At 41.5% G+C, this 16,440-nt stretch overlaps 1 long non-coding RNA gene across 1 annotated transcript; it reads left to right on the top strand.

Annotated features, from left to right (window-relative positions):
• Window positions 1-2,881: 2,881 nt before the first annotated feature.
• On the top strand, window positions 2,882-15,797 carry LOC107986733 (uncharacterized). The gene is made up of 3 exons (XR_001745009.1): window positions 2,882-2,942; window positions 7,955-8,078; window positions 15,610-15,797. It is a non-coding gene; the product is annotated as an uncharacterized LOC107986733 (long non-coding RNA).
• The last annotated feature ends 643 nt before the right edge of the window (window positions 15,798-16,440 follow it).

Raw genomic sequence — 16,440 nt, 5'->3', positions numbered from 1 at the left:
GACTATCCCAGGGAGAGTGTGTAGATCAAGAATAGAAGTCTGTGGACCGAGGGAATTAAATTTTGAGATTATCTGAGTATCTGCAACCACTCCATAGATTATATCTACCCCAAGCAGATATAAATGTGACTGACTCCACAGGGCATGTCCTTAGTGGTGAGTGGATACTGAGTGGGGCTGGCAGCTGGGGGGCCATCGTGAGGGTGGTAGAAAAAGACTGGACCAGGGTTGTGGGATCCCAAGGTCATGGTCATGTTCTTTCCCTACCGCACCTCCTCCCTGCTGTGTGCTTCCTTGTCATAGATGGACTCCATTCAGTTCCCACTTACCAGCTGCCCCCCTCTCCAACCCTTGGTTCCCTTTAATTTTGTGCGTTTTCTCCAGCTTGGGCGTAAGCCACTGTCCTTCCTCTACCCCCATTTCTTTCCCTTTCTCTTCCCTTCTGAATTCCAGGGCTTCCCCCACCCGTGATTATCTCCCTTCTCCTGTGCTAAGGTCTGGACTGAGATTGATTCTCAGCTATGCCCATCTGACAGACGGAGACAGACCACTTGTCCATACAGTATGGCATTTCCCAAGCCATTCCTACTGGCTTGCACTATCTTTTTACATTCAAATATCCACTTCTCCCTACTAAAAAAGCAAAAAAAAAAAAAAAAGCTCTGCTAGATTCCTTTTGACTTTTATTATTCTATTCTCAAATATTTGGGACCTAATCACTTAGACTTCAATTGAATTTGACTTTTCCAGATTTTCATCAAATCACTTGATATTTTCTATCTAACACTGAACCCTGTATTTTTAAAAGCCACATCACCTGGCTCCTGGATCTTAGTGACATTCTAAAGATTCACTTGAAAACAGAGTTTTTTCAGCACAAATGTGAACTCATTTGATTCTGTTAGTCACCCTACAAAGGAGACAGGTAAAATGGGTATTATCATTATTCCCATTTCTACTGATGAAGAAATGGAGGCTATGACAATTCAAGTCACCTGTCCCAAAACATACTGCTGGTAAAGGAAGTAGCCCAAATTTATACCCAGGTCTCCTGTAACACCATGACACACCACACTGCTTCTCAAAGGCCTATTACAGATGACATCCATTATAGTGAAACATTTGGAATAACTTTTAGGTGACACTTATTTGTAATGGAAATAGATATTCTAAAGAATCAATACTAAATCAGGATATCAAATAGATGGCATTATAATCTTGGTCCCACTGAAGGTATTCATCTGTAGGTTTTATTATTATTATTATTTTGAATTTAGGAACATTGACACCTTTATTATAATAACTTTTTTAGGATGACTGGGTTTTGGGGCATTTCTCTGAAATAGCACCTTATTAATCATGAATGGAGTCTTGATTTTTATTTTAATCATGTGCCCAGACATGGAGGGAAAAACGGAGAAACTTCCAGATTCTTGAGGCCAACTTTTTATCCCGTTATTAGAACTCCTTTCTCGTGAGGCATCGTAAGGCAGAAAGAGGACTCTCCTGGCTGCGAAGTGAGACAGAAGGACTCAAGCCACTTCACTTGAGGCCTTTCCTAGTCCTACCTTCGTTTAAACACACACACTCACAACCTCTTTTGATTTACACTGCTGTAGCCCAACTGTTTGGGAAAGCTGATGTTGTGGAATCCCTAAGTCATCTGTGACCTAGGTCACTAAAGACAGGAGCAATTTAGTAAAAGTATTAATTGAAAGTCTCCTGACAAGCCCTGCTCCTTCAGATAAAGTTACACATCAAACCCACACAGGCCGCCAGGCTATTCTGAGCAGGCTGAGATTTTCAATATCTCATAAACAGGCCCTTCAATCACTACAATCTAATAAGGCTATAATCATCATTGACACTATAATGATTAAAATGAATAAAACCCATTAAGAAAAGTCATGTTGAGTTATTAAAAGTTTCGCTCTGTGTGATATGTAATCTTTTATCCATTTTTTATGATGAAATCTGTAACCATCTATCCACGAAAGACCATTAATTTACTGCTCTGTGGATGTTACCATGCTCTTTAGTTTAACAGCTTATCATTGATTTCTTGAGGGAGATATTACATTTGGAGAAATACACATGGAACAAAAGCCCGAATGTTGCTCTAAATTTCCCACTGACAGAATGATCAAAGTATTTGGGTCTGGTCTGCAGCTCGGGGCTAGGGAACAAGTTTTCTAGAGCAGAGCAAGCCCTCTGGCTACCAGGCAGCAGATACATGTTTTCAGGCATCACAAATGCTTCTAAGGAAAGGTCATGTGCACCATGGCGGGAGGGGGGGAACAATAAAATGTCCATTAACCGGAGCCTAGTTAACTGGCTTATTGGCATCTATTAGAAACAAATTGCAAACAAAACTGATCCTATTATAAACTTCTCCTCCTCCCGTCGGTCAAGGGCAGTCTCTGATTGGTTCAGAAGAGGCCCCAACAAATACAGCGTTGTCAGATGGCTCCTTTATTTGCAAGGAGAAGATTGGGTTTCTGCCAGCAGCAGTCTCCAGCCCTGACTAGCAGAGAACTTACAGAGTTGGGAGGGATACGTGGCCCCGTCCCACAGAAACAGCACTGGAAAGGTGACTAATGTACTCCGGCCCGCATTCTTTCAACAGGGACTTTTTCCCCTAAGCAAACAGCAATAAAAAAATCTGAATAGAAGAATGTGGACACAGTGCTGAGCTAAGTGGTGGGGGAGCCCGATTCTTAATGTGTACTTTTTCTTATAAAAAAAACTCTGCTTCAATATCTTTACTGCTCATCTCCTGTTTAATCTTATTAACAGTAAAACCTAAAAAGATTCTGTGAAGCCAAGAAGAGGGTGTTGTCTTTAAAGGCATTCTTCATTTTTCCTGAAATGATTAATAAATCTATTTGCTAGCCTTCTTCGGCTGCCTCTCACTGAACAGACTTGCCAGTGTTTTCCAGCAGGTAAGGACAACACCCACACCACAAGGCAAAAATGGTGGGCTTATGTTTTATCAGATTTCCTTATTTTCCAGATTTGCTTCCATCATTGAGGTCCTGCTGGGTTTGGGGGGGCTTTTTTTCCACCTTATCTAAATAATATTAGGTTATAAACGTCATTCATAACATACTATCTCTTTTACTAAGGGAAGCCTGTTTTTACCAAAATAATCAAATATTCTTTATAATCCTCCCCTTTAAAAGAAAATAGAAAATTCCATTTGTAAGGTTTAAGTATAGTTCAAAGCGCAGCTAACAGACATCGATTTTTTTCAATCTTTGGAGAGTTAATTTAAGCCTACAACATTCCATCATGTAAGACAAAATGGTTGCTAAATGAAATTAAAAGGCAAATCCTCCAAGAATAAAAAGGAAATCGTTCTTTATATAATACATCATTAACCTGTGGAAATAACTGCTTCGGGGCATGATTGAGGCTAACAGCTTAGTAAAAATGTGTAAATGATGTAATACTTCTACAGATAAGAATGGCATTAGCGATTGTGAATTCTAAGAATGTTCACTTTCTGTGCACACACTCGTACCACAGTTGGAGTCGGGAGGACACTTCACAGGCCATTGCCATGCTTCTGCAATTGTTGGTGACACATAAACAGAGCGGTATCCCGTGTACGTACAATTAATGTTTTCTGCTGTTCTCATACCTTCATCTCACTTTTAACTATATTGATATCAACTGTGGTTCAAAGTGAAAATGGAATTGGGTAAATTATTTGTCCATTTCCATGAGGCAAGCCTTTATTTCCCCTCAATTTTTGGGAGGAGGGGATCAAGATGAAATGCACTATAAATGGTCATATGACTATGTCTAAAGACCCTTAAGAGAATTACAAAATTACTTAAGCATTCTGATCAAAAAGGACTGATATCTCGAAGAAAATTGTGCATGTGTGTGTATCTGTATATAACATAAAGTAAAATAAATAAGCCAGAGTGGGAGATAAGGAAATTCAGTACATCAAAGAAGGCTCCTTTTAGTCTATCTTCAGAGAAGGTGAAATTGACTGTTAAAATACCTATAAAAAATTTTAAAGACATTCCTGAATTTTAATTTATCATCATGGTATTAAAAATATAGCTCTTTCTAACCACGGAGGCACTGAAGATTTTGTGACATGAAAGTTTTCCTGGTGTTAATTTGAGCCTTTAATTAATTATAACCTTTTAGAAGGGGGCTGTATAACTGCCACAAAAAAAAAGGTTACATAGAGATGATGAAAAAATAAGACTCATTGCAGATTTTTAGTGAAGCTGCGCATTGGTGAGCTGTGGTTCTCAAGTGATGAGTCAGCACTTCTGTGATTGCAGGTGGAAAGAGCAATAAAATCTTGCTGAGTTTAGTTATTGAAATTATATGGTTTCATAAATAGTATAATGTTGTTCTCAGCAGGTAAATTTTATATTTTAATGACATCTGTATTATAACACATACAAATTCTCAAGCTCAAGGTCAACAGAGCCTTCTTCAATATGAGCAGCTGGAGCCCAGCACTGAGGCTGGAAATGAATAATTCAAGCTCTGAAGTGCTGAGGGCGTGGGAAGAGAAACTGAGATCACAGTAACTTATTAATTAGGAAAAAAGATATTTTCCTGGTAGGCCATTTGGAGGTATAGGAAATATGCAGGTGTGAGTGAGTGAGAATGTTGTATAGATGACTAAGCTTTCTAATGAGGTAACAGAACTGAGTGAAGATTTTGCTATAATGAAGAGGCAAGCCTGCTGTAGAAATGAAGCGCTTTGGATTTCAGCTTTAACTATGTTAAAATACAAGTCAAGTGCTCCTTAATTAGAACCAATATACTCCTGTTCACCTGATCACCTTTAAGCCCAGGTAACCACATTTGCACATCTAAACTCCCTCCTGAACTTATTAACTTAAAAAAAAAATGCCTGAAGAGACTAACTTTGTTTGGGTTGTTACTAAATCAGCTTTGTTTCATTGAAAAGCCTGCTCATTAGCTGTAATCCTTCCAGCTGTTTTCCCTTAGAGCCTCTGCAGGTCTACTGCCAAGACTGGTGTGGAGATTTTTGCTTGGATAAATGGCACATTATTGCTCCTCTTTCAAAACATCTCTATACCACAGGGTGACTATAGTTAATAACAATGTACTATACACTTGAAAATTGGAAAGAGAATAGATTTTAAGTGTTCTCACCACAAATAAATAAGTATGTGAAGCCATGGATATGTTAATCGGCTTGATTTAGCCATTCCACAATGTATACATATTTTGAATGTCATGTTGCACACCATAAATGCATACAACTTTTATTTACCAATTAAAATTCATTAATTTAATTAAATCTCCCTCATGTATGAACCACTTAGTAATTTACAACGCACTTTCCTTTGCATCACATTGTATTGAATCCTCACAGCAAATTCTGAGGTAGACAAATCTCTATTTTACAGATGATAAAACTAAGATCCAGAAAAGCTGATTCATTACTTAAGGTCAAACAGGTAATCGTTGAAGTCCAGGAACACATTTAGGTCTTCTCTCTCCAAATCTGCCTCTCTCCTTACCATACCAAACTTCACAGTAGCAATGTTGAACACTGCGTGATGCTCAGTAACCATTTTAAAGTCATAACACAGTAGTTTGTCATTGCTAAACCTTTTATGGGTTGTGTTTCTTTAGACATTACAGAAAGTGTTTTAAGAGCCGCTGCTCGTTTACTCTGGTTATCCCAAGACAAACAGTGTGGGCGATGGAAGCTAACCTGACTGGTGGTCTGCCCAATAGTTATCCCCTCTGCCTTTCTTTCCTGAGAGAGCCCTGATTTTGTTTGGAGACCTCCCTTTCTCTATGTCATTCATAGTAAAGCCTGAATAGACCAAGCTAAGCAAGGTAATGCTGTCTTCTATCAGTGACTGGTTTAGGAAGGAGGCTGCAACACAATTCTGGCCAGTGAAATGCAAGAGAGACTACCAGAGGCCTTCTCAGGAAAGTTTCCTTAGTTTTAAAGAGAAGCACATTACGAAACATTCCCTCTTCTTCTTCTTCTTCTTCTTTTTTTTTTTTTTTTTTTTTGAGACGGAGTCTTGCTCTGTTGCCCAGGCTGGAGTGCAGCGGCATGATCTTGGCTCACTACAACCTCCGCCTCCCAGGTTCAAGTGATTCTCCTGCCTCAGCCTCCCGAGTAGCTGGGATTACAGGCACACGCCACCATGCCCAACTATTTTTTCTATTTTTAGGAGAGATGGGGTTTCACCAGGTTGGCCAGGCTGGTCTTGAACTCCTGACCTTAAGTGATCCGCCTGCCTCAGCCTCCCAAAGTGCTGGGATTACAGGCGTGAGCCATTGCGCCCAGCTGACCCTCCCTCTTCTTTTAATGAGTAGCATCATCTCATGACCATGAGAAGAGCTAGCCTCAGGAAGAAGCTGATCCACTGAGAATGACAGAGATGGTGGGAAGCCAGGTCCCTGATGAAAAGCTGATGGATTAATCAACCCTAGAGCCACCATGCCCCGGGACTTCTTGTTACAGAAGAAAAGAAAATTCCCTTATTGTTTAAAACAGTTGAGTTGGAGTTTCCTGCTACTTACAGCCAAGCATCTAACAGAAAATTTGTCCAGGTGAACAAGTTGGATACGTATCTCAATTTAAGGCCATTTAAAGTTATGCTACAATCAGCTGAAAAGATCTTAAATTGCCTAACAACTGTAGGATATTATTATATCCATTAGGTGCTCCAGCTTTCCTAAAAATATACTTATTTTTATTTTCACAAATAAAAAGCACCTGAAAGACCATACATAAAATCATCTCATAAATTAATAACAATACATGATTATAAATCTGGAGATCAGCATAATAAAATGGTTAGAAACCTATTAGTTGAAAGCTTGGATAATATATATAGTCTTGAAAACCCCTTTTAATTCTAAATCTTATGATGGAGAAAATTCTTATACTGACATATCAAGCTGTATCATCTATTAACATCACAAAGATGTTTGTGGTAACTCATGGAGTCCCCACAATGACACCTAAGATGAGCCAGGCTCAAAAACAATTAGGATTTACAGTCATGCTGAGAAAAATGTTCTACTATGTCTTCCTTGTGAAATACAGTAATATAAAAGGATGCAATGTAAACCATATTTCAGGGAGAGAGTAACAAAGAGGTAAAACCAAAATGGAGTGGTTACACGTCTGAGATCCACATATCCTTATATGTGTGGGAATGCTATCAATGAAGAACACCTTGAATCAGGAATGCGTGTGCTCTCCATTTTATCGTCAACAAGTCTCAGGAAATTTAACTAGTTTGAGATAAAGGTAGTTTTCCCTAGCTCCTGTGTACACTAGGTCAATATTTCTCCGGGCCTGTTAGATGTTAAAAGATGTGCTCACCTCCCCCCCACTCCCCCCACCACCCACAATAAAGGGAGGGTCTTGGTGTGGGTTTCCCTAGAAATCGGGCCTGAGTCAAAGATTGAAGTGCAAATAGTTTAGGAGGCGATTCCGGGAAACACCAATAAAAGAGTGGGGAAGTGAGGCCAGGAGGGGAAGGTAGCCAGTATGAGGAGTTTGACCAAGTCAGTTTCCACTCCCAGCAGCAGGAACTCAGCCCTAATTTTTGTGATATAGGCACTTTTCGGTCAGTTGGGTCAGAAGCAGATTGAGATGGAGTTAGAAGTGTCAAAGTTCCACTGGAGAGTAACACCTGTGAAAGAGGAGAAGTGGGAAGCAGGCCTGGAGAGGAAGAACTGTCAGACCATCGGGCAGAGCGGGCAAAGTCTCTGCCAGCTCATTGACAGCTCCACAGTGAAGACAGCTCGTAGGAGGAATTCTGCCCTCCTGGGGAACTCTGGAAAGCATCGGGGAACATGCTTCAGTTTCCTATCTGAGAGGCAACTGGGAAACTTATCTGCCACCTGCCTGTCCATCTTTGGTTGAACACTGCTTTTGAGGTGAGGGACATTAACTGTCTTGTTCTTTCAGCTTACCTGTTAACAGGTTGAGTGGACTCCCATCGGCCCCCACCACCACCCTGAAAAAGAAAAAAAAAAAGGCTTCAGGCAAAGAATTGCAGGTGTTCATAGAAAGCAGCCTTCAAAGTGTACAGGTATGTGCTGAGAGGACATGGATGTGGTGCTGACAGCATCTGCTACATAGAGCGAAACACACCGCATTCCTTATCCTCTGCTTGCTAATTTAGAATACACTTTACCATACTGAAGGCTCCAAGAAGACCTGCCTCAGAAACTTGTACAGGTTGGATTAACCTGAGTCAGTGCTTCCAACATGCATCTAGCAGAACTAGTGAGCGGCAGGTTTCACATTGTGATAAAGCTGCTCCAAATGGGTCAATAGTAGTCATACAAAGGAGGTCAGTGATGATGCCAAGACCTATCTAGTTGGAGTCAATTCCTCTCCAGCTGATGGCCCGACTCCTATTTTCATTCCAGGCTATGACATAAGTAGCCAATAAATGGTCTACCCTGAGTCAGCATCCAACCTTGATCTGTGCATACTTGGAGTCTGGGGGCAATTAACATTGTTTGCATGAAGGATAATCTGGGACAATTCTTTGGGAATTTTATTTTGGAAACATGTAGAAATATAGGAAATTAACAGGAGGAGTAGAAACTCAAAGGATGCATAAACAGAAGCCTTGAGGCAGTGTTAGGGTTATGAGGGGAGGGAGAGAAGGGGCTGTGAGGGATCTTGGCAAACTGAAATTATGATTAAGCAAAAAGTATGAAATTTTTTTTTTTTGAGATGGAATTTCGCTCTTGTTGCCCAGGCTGGAGTGCAATGGTGCAATCTCAGCTCACTGCAACCTCAGCCCCCTGGGTTCAAGCGATTCTCCTGCCTCAGCCTCCCAAGTAGCTGGGATTACAGGCATGTGCCACCACGCCCAGCTAATTTTGTATTTTCAGTAGAGACAGGGTTTCTCCATGTTGGTCAGGCTGGTCTCAAACTCCCAACTTCAGGTGATCCGCCCACCTCAGCCTCCCAAAGTTCTGGGATTACAGGCATGAACCACCGCTCCCGGCCAAAAAAGTATGAATTTTTAAAGGATAAAGTAGATTTTAAAAAGAATAAGTGCATTGCCGGGTGTGGTGGCTCACGTCTGTAATCCCAGCACTTTGGGAGGCCGAGGCGGGTGGATCGTGAGGTCAGGAGTTCAAGACCAGCCTGGCCAAGATGGTGAAATCCCATCTCTACTAAAAAATACAAACATTAGCTGGATGTGGTGGCACCTGCTTGTAGTCCCAGCTACTTAGGAGGCTGAGGCAGGAGAATCACTTGAACCCGGGAGGCGGAGGTTGCAGTGAGCCAAGATTGCACCATAGCACTCCAGCCTGGGCGACAGAGTGAGACTCTGTCTAAAAAAAAAAAAAAATTAGAATAAGTGCATTGTAGCTAGTTTCAATCAGAGACAAAGAAGAACAGATACCCAGGTTGCTGAGTCATACCACTGGTGGAACACCAGAGTAAAGATCCATAAACTCCCAGTCCTTGGGCCATTGGGACCACCTTAGATCCAGAAACACCCTCCCGTTCTGGACTTTGAGTTCTGGCCCTGTTTCCACTATGCTCTTGGGATTCTGCGAACATTCACATTAATCCTCATGTAAACTATCTTTCCTGAGCTTACTTGAATAGATCAGTGTTGCTTGCAACTAAACAAGTTTTGTAAATCAGAGGCCAGTGAGGGCCTGCTAACAGGCCCATCTGTCAAGCAATACCTGTGACCAGGAAAGGGGCTTTGACAGACCAGGGAGAAAAGGTAGAAGAGAGAAACGCATGCCGGGTGATATTTCTGGTTGAAAACTCATGAAACAGGATGGGATTTCTGTTTCTAGTCTCAGTAGTGGGAAGCTTCCATGCTGGTTTCAGACAAAAGCAGAGACAGTCAGGTTGACAAAGTGGTTTCTGAAGAAAACTTTATCAACTCTACTAGTTCTTGCCCTAGTTCCCTTTTTTTTTCACTCAGCAACCTGAGCTGGGGCTCCTAGAGCAGAGAATGGTATAGTTTGGAGAACTAAGACGGGGGAGCAGGGCAGGAAATAGCATGAGTCAGGGGCTTGGTGGTGGATGCGGAAGATGACCTTTGCCTAAGTGGAAGTCATCTTCACAGTGTATTTTCCTACATAGTCAGGATTCTCTCTAACAGAAATTTACTTTCAAATAGCATAGTGGGAAGAAGTCAGATGTTGGCCTCACACAGACTCAGGTTCAAATCCCACCACCACCACTTTTAATGTGTGTCATGATGGCAAATTACTTAACTTCTGTGAGCCCCAGTCTTGTTATCTGTAAATGAGAAGAGTCATATCTATCTACAATATTATTTTAATAGCTAAATAAAATGCATGAAACACAATCAATTATACATATGTATTTTCCTAAAAGGAAAGGAGGTCACTGGGCAGTCTGCATTGCCTATGCCTCTTGAAATCAGTTTTATTAACCTGTAACCTAGTTCTGATTAGAATGGGGTAGAACTTAGGAATTTCATTCAATACATATTCTGTGTGGTAGACATAGTGCATAAAGCTACCTCGAATCTTAGGATTTGCAGATCCCAGAGTCTGAGGGACTTTGGGTATAACTCCCTATCCCTTCTTTCATGGGTGAAGAATCCAGGGCCAAGAGGGGTGACATGACTTGCCCAGGTCATACAGCCAGTTAACCGCACAGCCAAGAAGAAGCTGGTGCTGGAGGAAGCTGGCTTTCCAGACTTCCCATTCAGTGTTCTTACCATCAGAATTTTCTGGTTTTCTTAACCTTAGATCAAGTTCTCTATTCACACAAAATACATCAACCCAGAATTTCTTTTGTTTTTCTTCATAGTAAATCTAGAAACACTTTTCCTTGTAGACTCACAGGTGTGGCTCTTGGGCATGGCATGCTCTCTCCACTCTTTGGAGTGCTCTTCCCTATGCCCAGCTTCACCATCCCCTTCTCAAGTTTGGGTTAGGGGTCCGTCCTTAACTTACCTCGATTATCACGTTCTCACTACGGCACCGTTACTGTTGTCTCCTCCTCTTGACTGCCCTCCCTGAAGGCAGGTCCTAAATCTGGTTCCTCCAGGACATGTTGGTTGAATGAAAATTTTTTTTTTTTTTTGAGATGGAGTCTCACTCTGTCACCAGGCTGGAGTGCAGAGGTGCAATCTCGGCTCACTGCAACCGCCACCTCCCGGGTTCAAGTGATTCTTCTGTCTCAGCCTCCTGAGTAGCTGGGACTACAGGTGCATGCCATCACACCCAGCTAATTTTTGTATTTTTAGTAGAGATGGGGTTTCACCATGTTGGCCAGGATGGTCTCGATCTCTTGACCTCGTGATCCGCCCGCCTCAGCCTCCCAAAGTGCTGGGATTATAGTCGTGAGCCACCATGCCTAGCCAATTGGATGAATTTTTAAATGTATGTTATGAACGTTGAAATAGAAGCTCATTGGAAAAGGTTAGAATAACCCTAAATGTTGAGGTAAATGAAACTACCCTTTGATATCAGTGATTTCTCTACCAGGAACATGTAGAGTAATATAAGTAGTCAATACACTGACAACCTCTGGAGAACAATGGTCCAGTCTAGCCAGAGTCCTTAATGTGGGGATGGAGTGAAAGCCCCAGAGCTGTCAGCAGGGGAACAGAAGAAGTCATTTCCAAGTTCTCTATTTCAACTTCCCCGTCTGTAAAGGTGTAGCAAGGAAGGTAGCTTAGATAATGACGATGATTATGATTATTATTATTTCAGACGGAGTTTGGCTCTTATTGCCGAGGCTGGAGTGCAATGGCATGGTCTCAGATCCCTGCAACTGCCGCCTCCCAGGTTCAAGAAATTCTCTTGCCTCAGCCTCCCAAGTAGCTGGGATTACAGGCATCTGCCACCACACCCAGCTAATTTTTGTTATTTTTAGTAGAGATGGGGTTTCACTGTTTTGGCCAGGCTGGTCTCGAACTCCTGACCTCAGATGATCCACCCGCCTCGGCCTCCCAAAGTGCTGGGATTACAGACATGAGCCACCACACCCGACAGATTATTTTTAAAGTTACTTTTAGTTCTAAAATAGTAAAACGCTATATTCTAAGTATATTTGATTAAACTACAACTCTGCTAAAGGCTATGAAACTTTATTGTTGTTCTCAGATCAGATTGCAAAGAAATTACCCATTAATAATACGCTTCATAGCAAACTCTACTCTTAAGTATCCGTCATACAATCAGAAACCCTTGGAAATCTTAGAGCAAAATACACATCATTTACCCCTCTCTTTTTTAGAATCACTATTAGATTTAAAAACACTTAAACATAAAAGGCTTTTATATCAATGTATTCATTTATTCTCTTCAAGTTTACTAAGCTCTTACTCGATGAATAGTACAGCATTTGAGTCCCAAGAAGGCCAATAAGAAGTTTATATCCGGTTAATGATACTGACAGGTCCCTGCACCAAGGAAAAAAAATTACTTTTGAGAGTGCAAAAAGCCTAGTGTCATTTACCTTTCTACCAATAATTCCTTGTGAGTGCTTTCAAAGCTAGAAGGAGAAAGCTAACCATACTGAACCAATATTTTGTTTTTGAGTTTGAAACAAAGTCAAATGCAAAAGCATAGCAATCTGAGGTAAGCTGATCCCCTCTCTAGGGATAAATGGAGAGTTCTCTTTTGAAAATGGTTTGCAAATAATCATACTAACAGTACAGCTATAAGTGAAAAGACCTTGAAAGATGCCTTCTTACCAGAGGACTGTTTATAAGATTCACAAGTGCATGTGCTCAAGTACGAGAAATGCCTTTAAGTTTCCCTTTATTATTTTCAAGAATCCTCCTAAATTGGGTAGGGAAGCAAGAATCAAAGCCGGGAAATTCTTTTTTAATTTTTAGACACAGAGTGCAGTGGCATGATCATAGCTCACTGCAGCCTCCAACTCCTGGGCTTAAGTGATCCTCCAGCCTCAGCCTCCTGAGTAGTTGGAACAACAGGTGCACACCATCATGCCCAACCAATTTTTTAAAAAAATATTTTTAGAGACAGGAGTTTCACTATATTGAGACCAGGCTGGTCTCAAACTCTTGGCCTCAAAGGATCCTTAGCCTCAGCCTCAATTACAGGAATGAGCCACTGTGCCTGGCTAAAGCAGGGAAACTCTAAAAACATATGCTTAATGGGTGAAATGTTAGACTATCAAGCAGCTTGAGAAATAGGAGATTTTCTAGATACTAGTGAACCATGAGGCAGTTAATAAGTGAAGAAAAGTCTTTGGAGTTGAGAAAAAGAAGACTGTGCAGCAAGATCCTCATTACTCTAGGGCAGAGCTGGGGAATTGACTAAATTAAAACTCAGGAAAGATCTGCTTAATATAGATGTAGCTATCGATGATTCATCAGTAATTGTTTGAAACCAGTCACTGTCCTCCATAATAATATTAAAAGATGACCTACCCCCGATAACTCAGATCTAGTGGAAATTAAACCAGGGAAACTTGGTAAGCAGGAGACAAATGGAAGCGCTGACAATTCCAACTAATTTAGTATATTGAACATCCTATGCGATTTTTACTATTTTTACATATGCATTGTACATCAGATTGAAAATCAAACTGAAAAATATTCATTATGTTTGCACTGTGTGTGCATATGTGTGTGCATGTGTGTGCGTGTGTGTGTATGTGTGTAAGAGAGTTCTGGGGTGGAAAGATGAAAAAGTGGAAGCATTTACTTAAAGACTTACACCACAAATTTAAAGGAATTTAAAAGAATGCACAATATTGAGCTAAGGCAATCAAACACAAAAGATATCCTAAAATTTAGGCCGGGTGCGGTGGCTCACACCTGTAATCCCAGCACTTTGGGAGGCCGAGGCGGGTGGATCACGAGGTCAGGAGATCGAGACCATCCTGGCTAACATGGTGAAACCCCATCTCTACTAAAAATACAAAAAAATTAGCCGGGCGTGGTGGCATGTGCCTGTAGTCCCAGCTACTCAGGAGGCTGAGGCAGGAGAATGGCGTGAACGCGGGAGGCAGAGCTTGCAGTGAGCCGAGATGGTACCACTGCACTCCAGCCTGGGTGACAGAGCAAGACTCCGTCTCAAAAAAAAAAAAAAAAAAGATATCCTAAAATTTCATTTATATGATTTACAACAACAGGACAAAGTAACCCATGATGTTAAGAGTTAGGACAGTGGTTAGCCTTGGGAAGCAGTTGTTGACTGTAAGGAAGGCAGCACAAGGGGCTTTTAGATGCTGTTGATAATGTGCTGCTTAATCTTCTTCTTAATGTGCTGCTTTCATGAATGTGTTCAGTTTATAAAAATTCGTCAAGCTGTACCCTTGTGATATGGGCACTTTTCGGTCAGTTGGGTCAGAAGCAGATTGAGATGGAGTTAGAAGTGCAAAAGTTTCACTGGAGAGTAACACCTGTGAAAAAGGGGAAGGGGGAAACAGGCCTGGGCAGGAGGAGTTGTCAGGCCTTTGGAAAGAGTGGGCAAAGTCTCTGCCAGTTCATCAACAGCTCCACAGTCAAGACAGCTCATAGGAGGAATTCTGCAGTAGGTGGAGATGACCTGGCCCTTGCAACAAAGTCTTGCGCAGTCATTGGCTGTGGCTGCCTTGACAAGGAGTGTCCTCAGTTCAAAAGCTGAAGTGGACCCAAAGTAGTTAACAGTGAGAAGCTCTCAAGTACCCTTACTCCTTTTAGCTGGGCAATTAGTTCTTTCTTAAAAGGGATTTGGGCGCCATATAGTGCAAGAGACTGAATAGTGGATATCTAAAAGTACAAAGATTAGCTGGGTGTGGTGGCACACGCCTGTAGTCCCAGCTACTCGGGAGGCTGAAGCAGGGGAATCACTTGAACCCGGGAGGCGGAGGTTGCAGTGAGCCGAGATCGCACCACTGCACTCCAGCCTGGAGACAGAGCGAGACTCTGTCTCAAATAAATAAATAAATAAATATTATAACATAATATATAAATACATCATATGCTACATTTCACTAAAAAGTTTACTTTTAAGAAAACAGAATGCACCATCCACTCCAGGTGTTCTCAACATCTGCTTGCACAGAACCCCAGGGTTATACACATTAAATCAAAGCATTCCACTAATGAAAAATGGAAAGATGATGATTTTTTTCCCACTTTCACAGAACAAAGAGCTAAGATAATGATAAGCTTTCCTTACTAAGCTTTTATCTCATAAATTCTTCTTAAATCTTTGACACATACTACTGAATGTCTGTATAAAAATAAGATGAGGCCAGGCATGGTGGCTCATGCCTGTAATCACAGCACTTTGGGAGGCCAAGGCGGGCGGATCATGAGGTCAAGAGATCGAGACCATCTTGGCCAACATTGTGAAACCCTGTCTCTACTAAAAATACAAAAATTAGCTCAGCGTGGTGGCGCTCACCTGTAGTCCCAGCTACTCAGGAGGCTGAGGCAGGAGAATCACTTGAACCCAGGAGGCAGAGGTTGCAGTGAGCCAAGATCATGCCACTGCACTCCAGCCTGGTGACAAAGCGAGACTCCGTCTCAAAAAAAGAAAAGAATAAGATGATATCTGACCTAGGACAAAATTATATGTTTTGTCATATCAGCATTTCATGAGATTCCACCATGACATCCAGGTGTTGCACCACAGGAACAAGATTGAGGATCAACAAAGCTACTTGGAAATAATGGATGCTAGAACTCTAAGGAACCCACAGAAGATCAGTTCTCAAATCACCAGCCACTGGGGAGCAAATGAGCCAACCTCAAAATTGACAAGCAGTTATGGTGCTATGTGTCTCCCGTGGGTACTGGACACTGTGTTGTATGGGGCTCCTCATCTTGGTAAGTCCTCTGCTTGTTCCCTTAAGTTCAGTTTGAATTTACCTGTATGCTTAGTCTGTTTCTGCCTACATGTGTTTCACTAGTCTGCCAATCTTAGTATCAGAGACACCCAGGCCTAGATCTAATCATGCCCTCTGGATTCCAACACACACACACACACACACACACACACACACACACACACACACTCCTTTCCAACTATCCTCTCTGAACTTTGCCACTCATAACCTCTTATCCTTCACATCATACTCTCTTTCTGACCCACCAACCTGGCCTGTTTCCCAGACCAAGGGCCTTTAGTCTTGCCCTGTCTTGCAGCCACTCTGGTGGTAACATATGTTAGGTATGAGACATTTTTTAGAAGTTCATAATAGAGCCAAGTGTGTGTAGCAGAATATATATATATATTCTCCTGAGAATAGGAAGAAATAGCAATCATTTGAGGGTCATATAATCAGAAATGCAAATATATGAAAGTGTATGAAATATATGAAAATACATGAAAAAATACATGAAATAGTGGTCTTTAAGACATTGGGTATAAGTCAATGAAGAGCAGTGATCCCTGAAAGATGGGAAACGCACAAGACGAGGCTTACAATTACCTTAGTCTACTACCTGGAGAGAGTTTCCAGGC

The sequence above is a fragment of the Homo sapiens genome, chromosome 7 (genome assembly GCF_000001405.40).
Source record: "Homo sapiens chromosome 7, GRCh38.p14 Primary Assembly".
NCBI lineage: Eukaryota > Metazoa > Chordata > Mammalia > Primates > Hominidae > Homo > Homo sapiens.
This window is presented reverse-complemented; position numbering and strand designations above follow the sequence as displayed.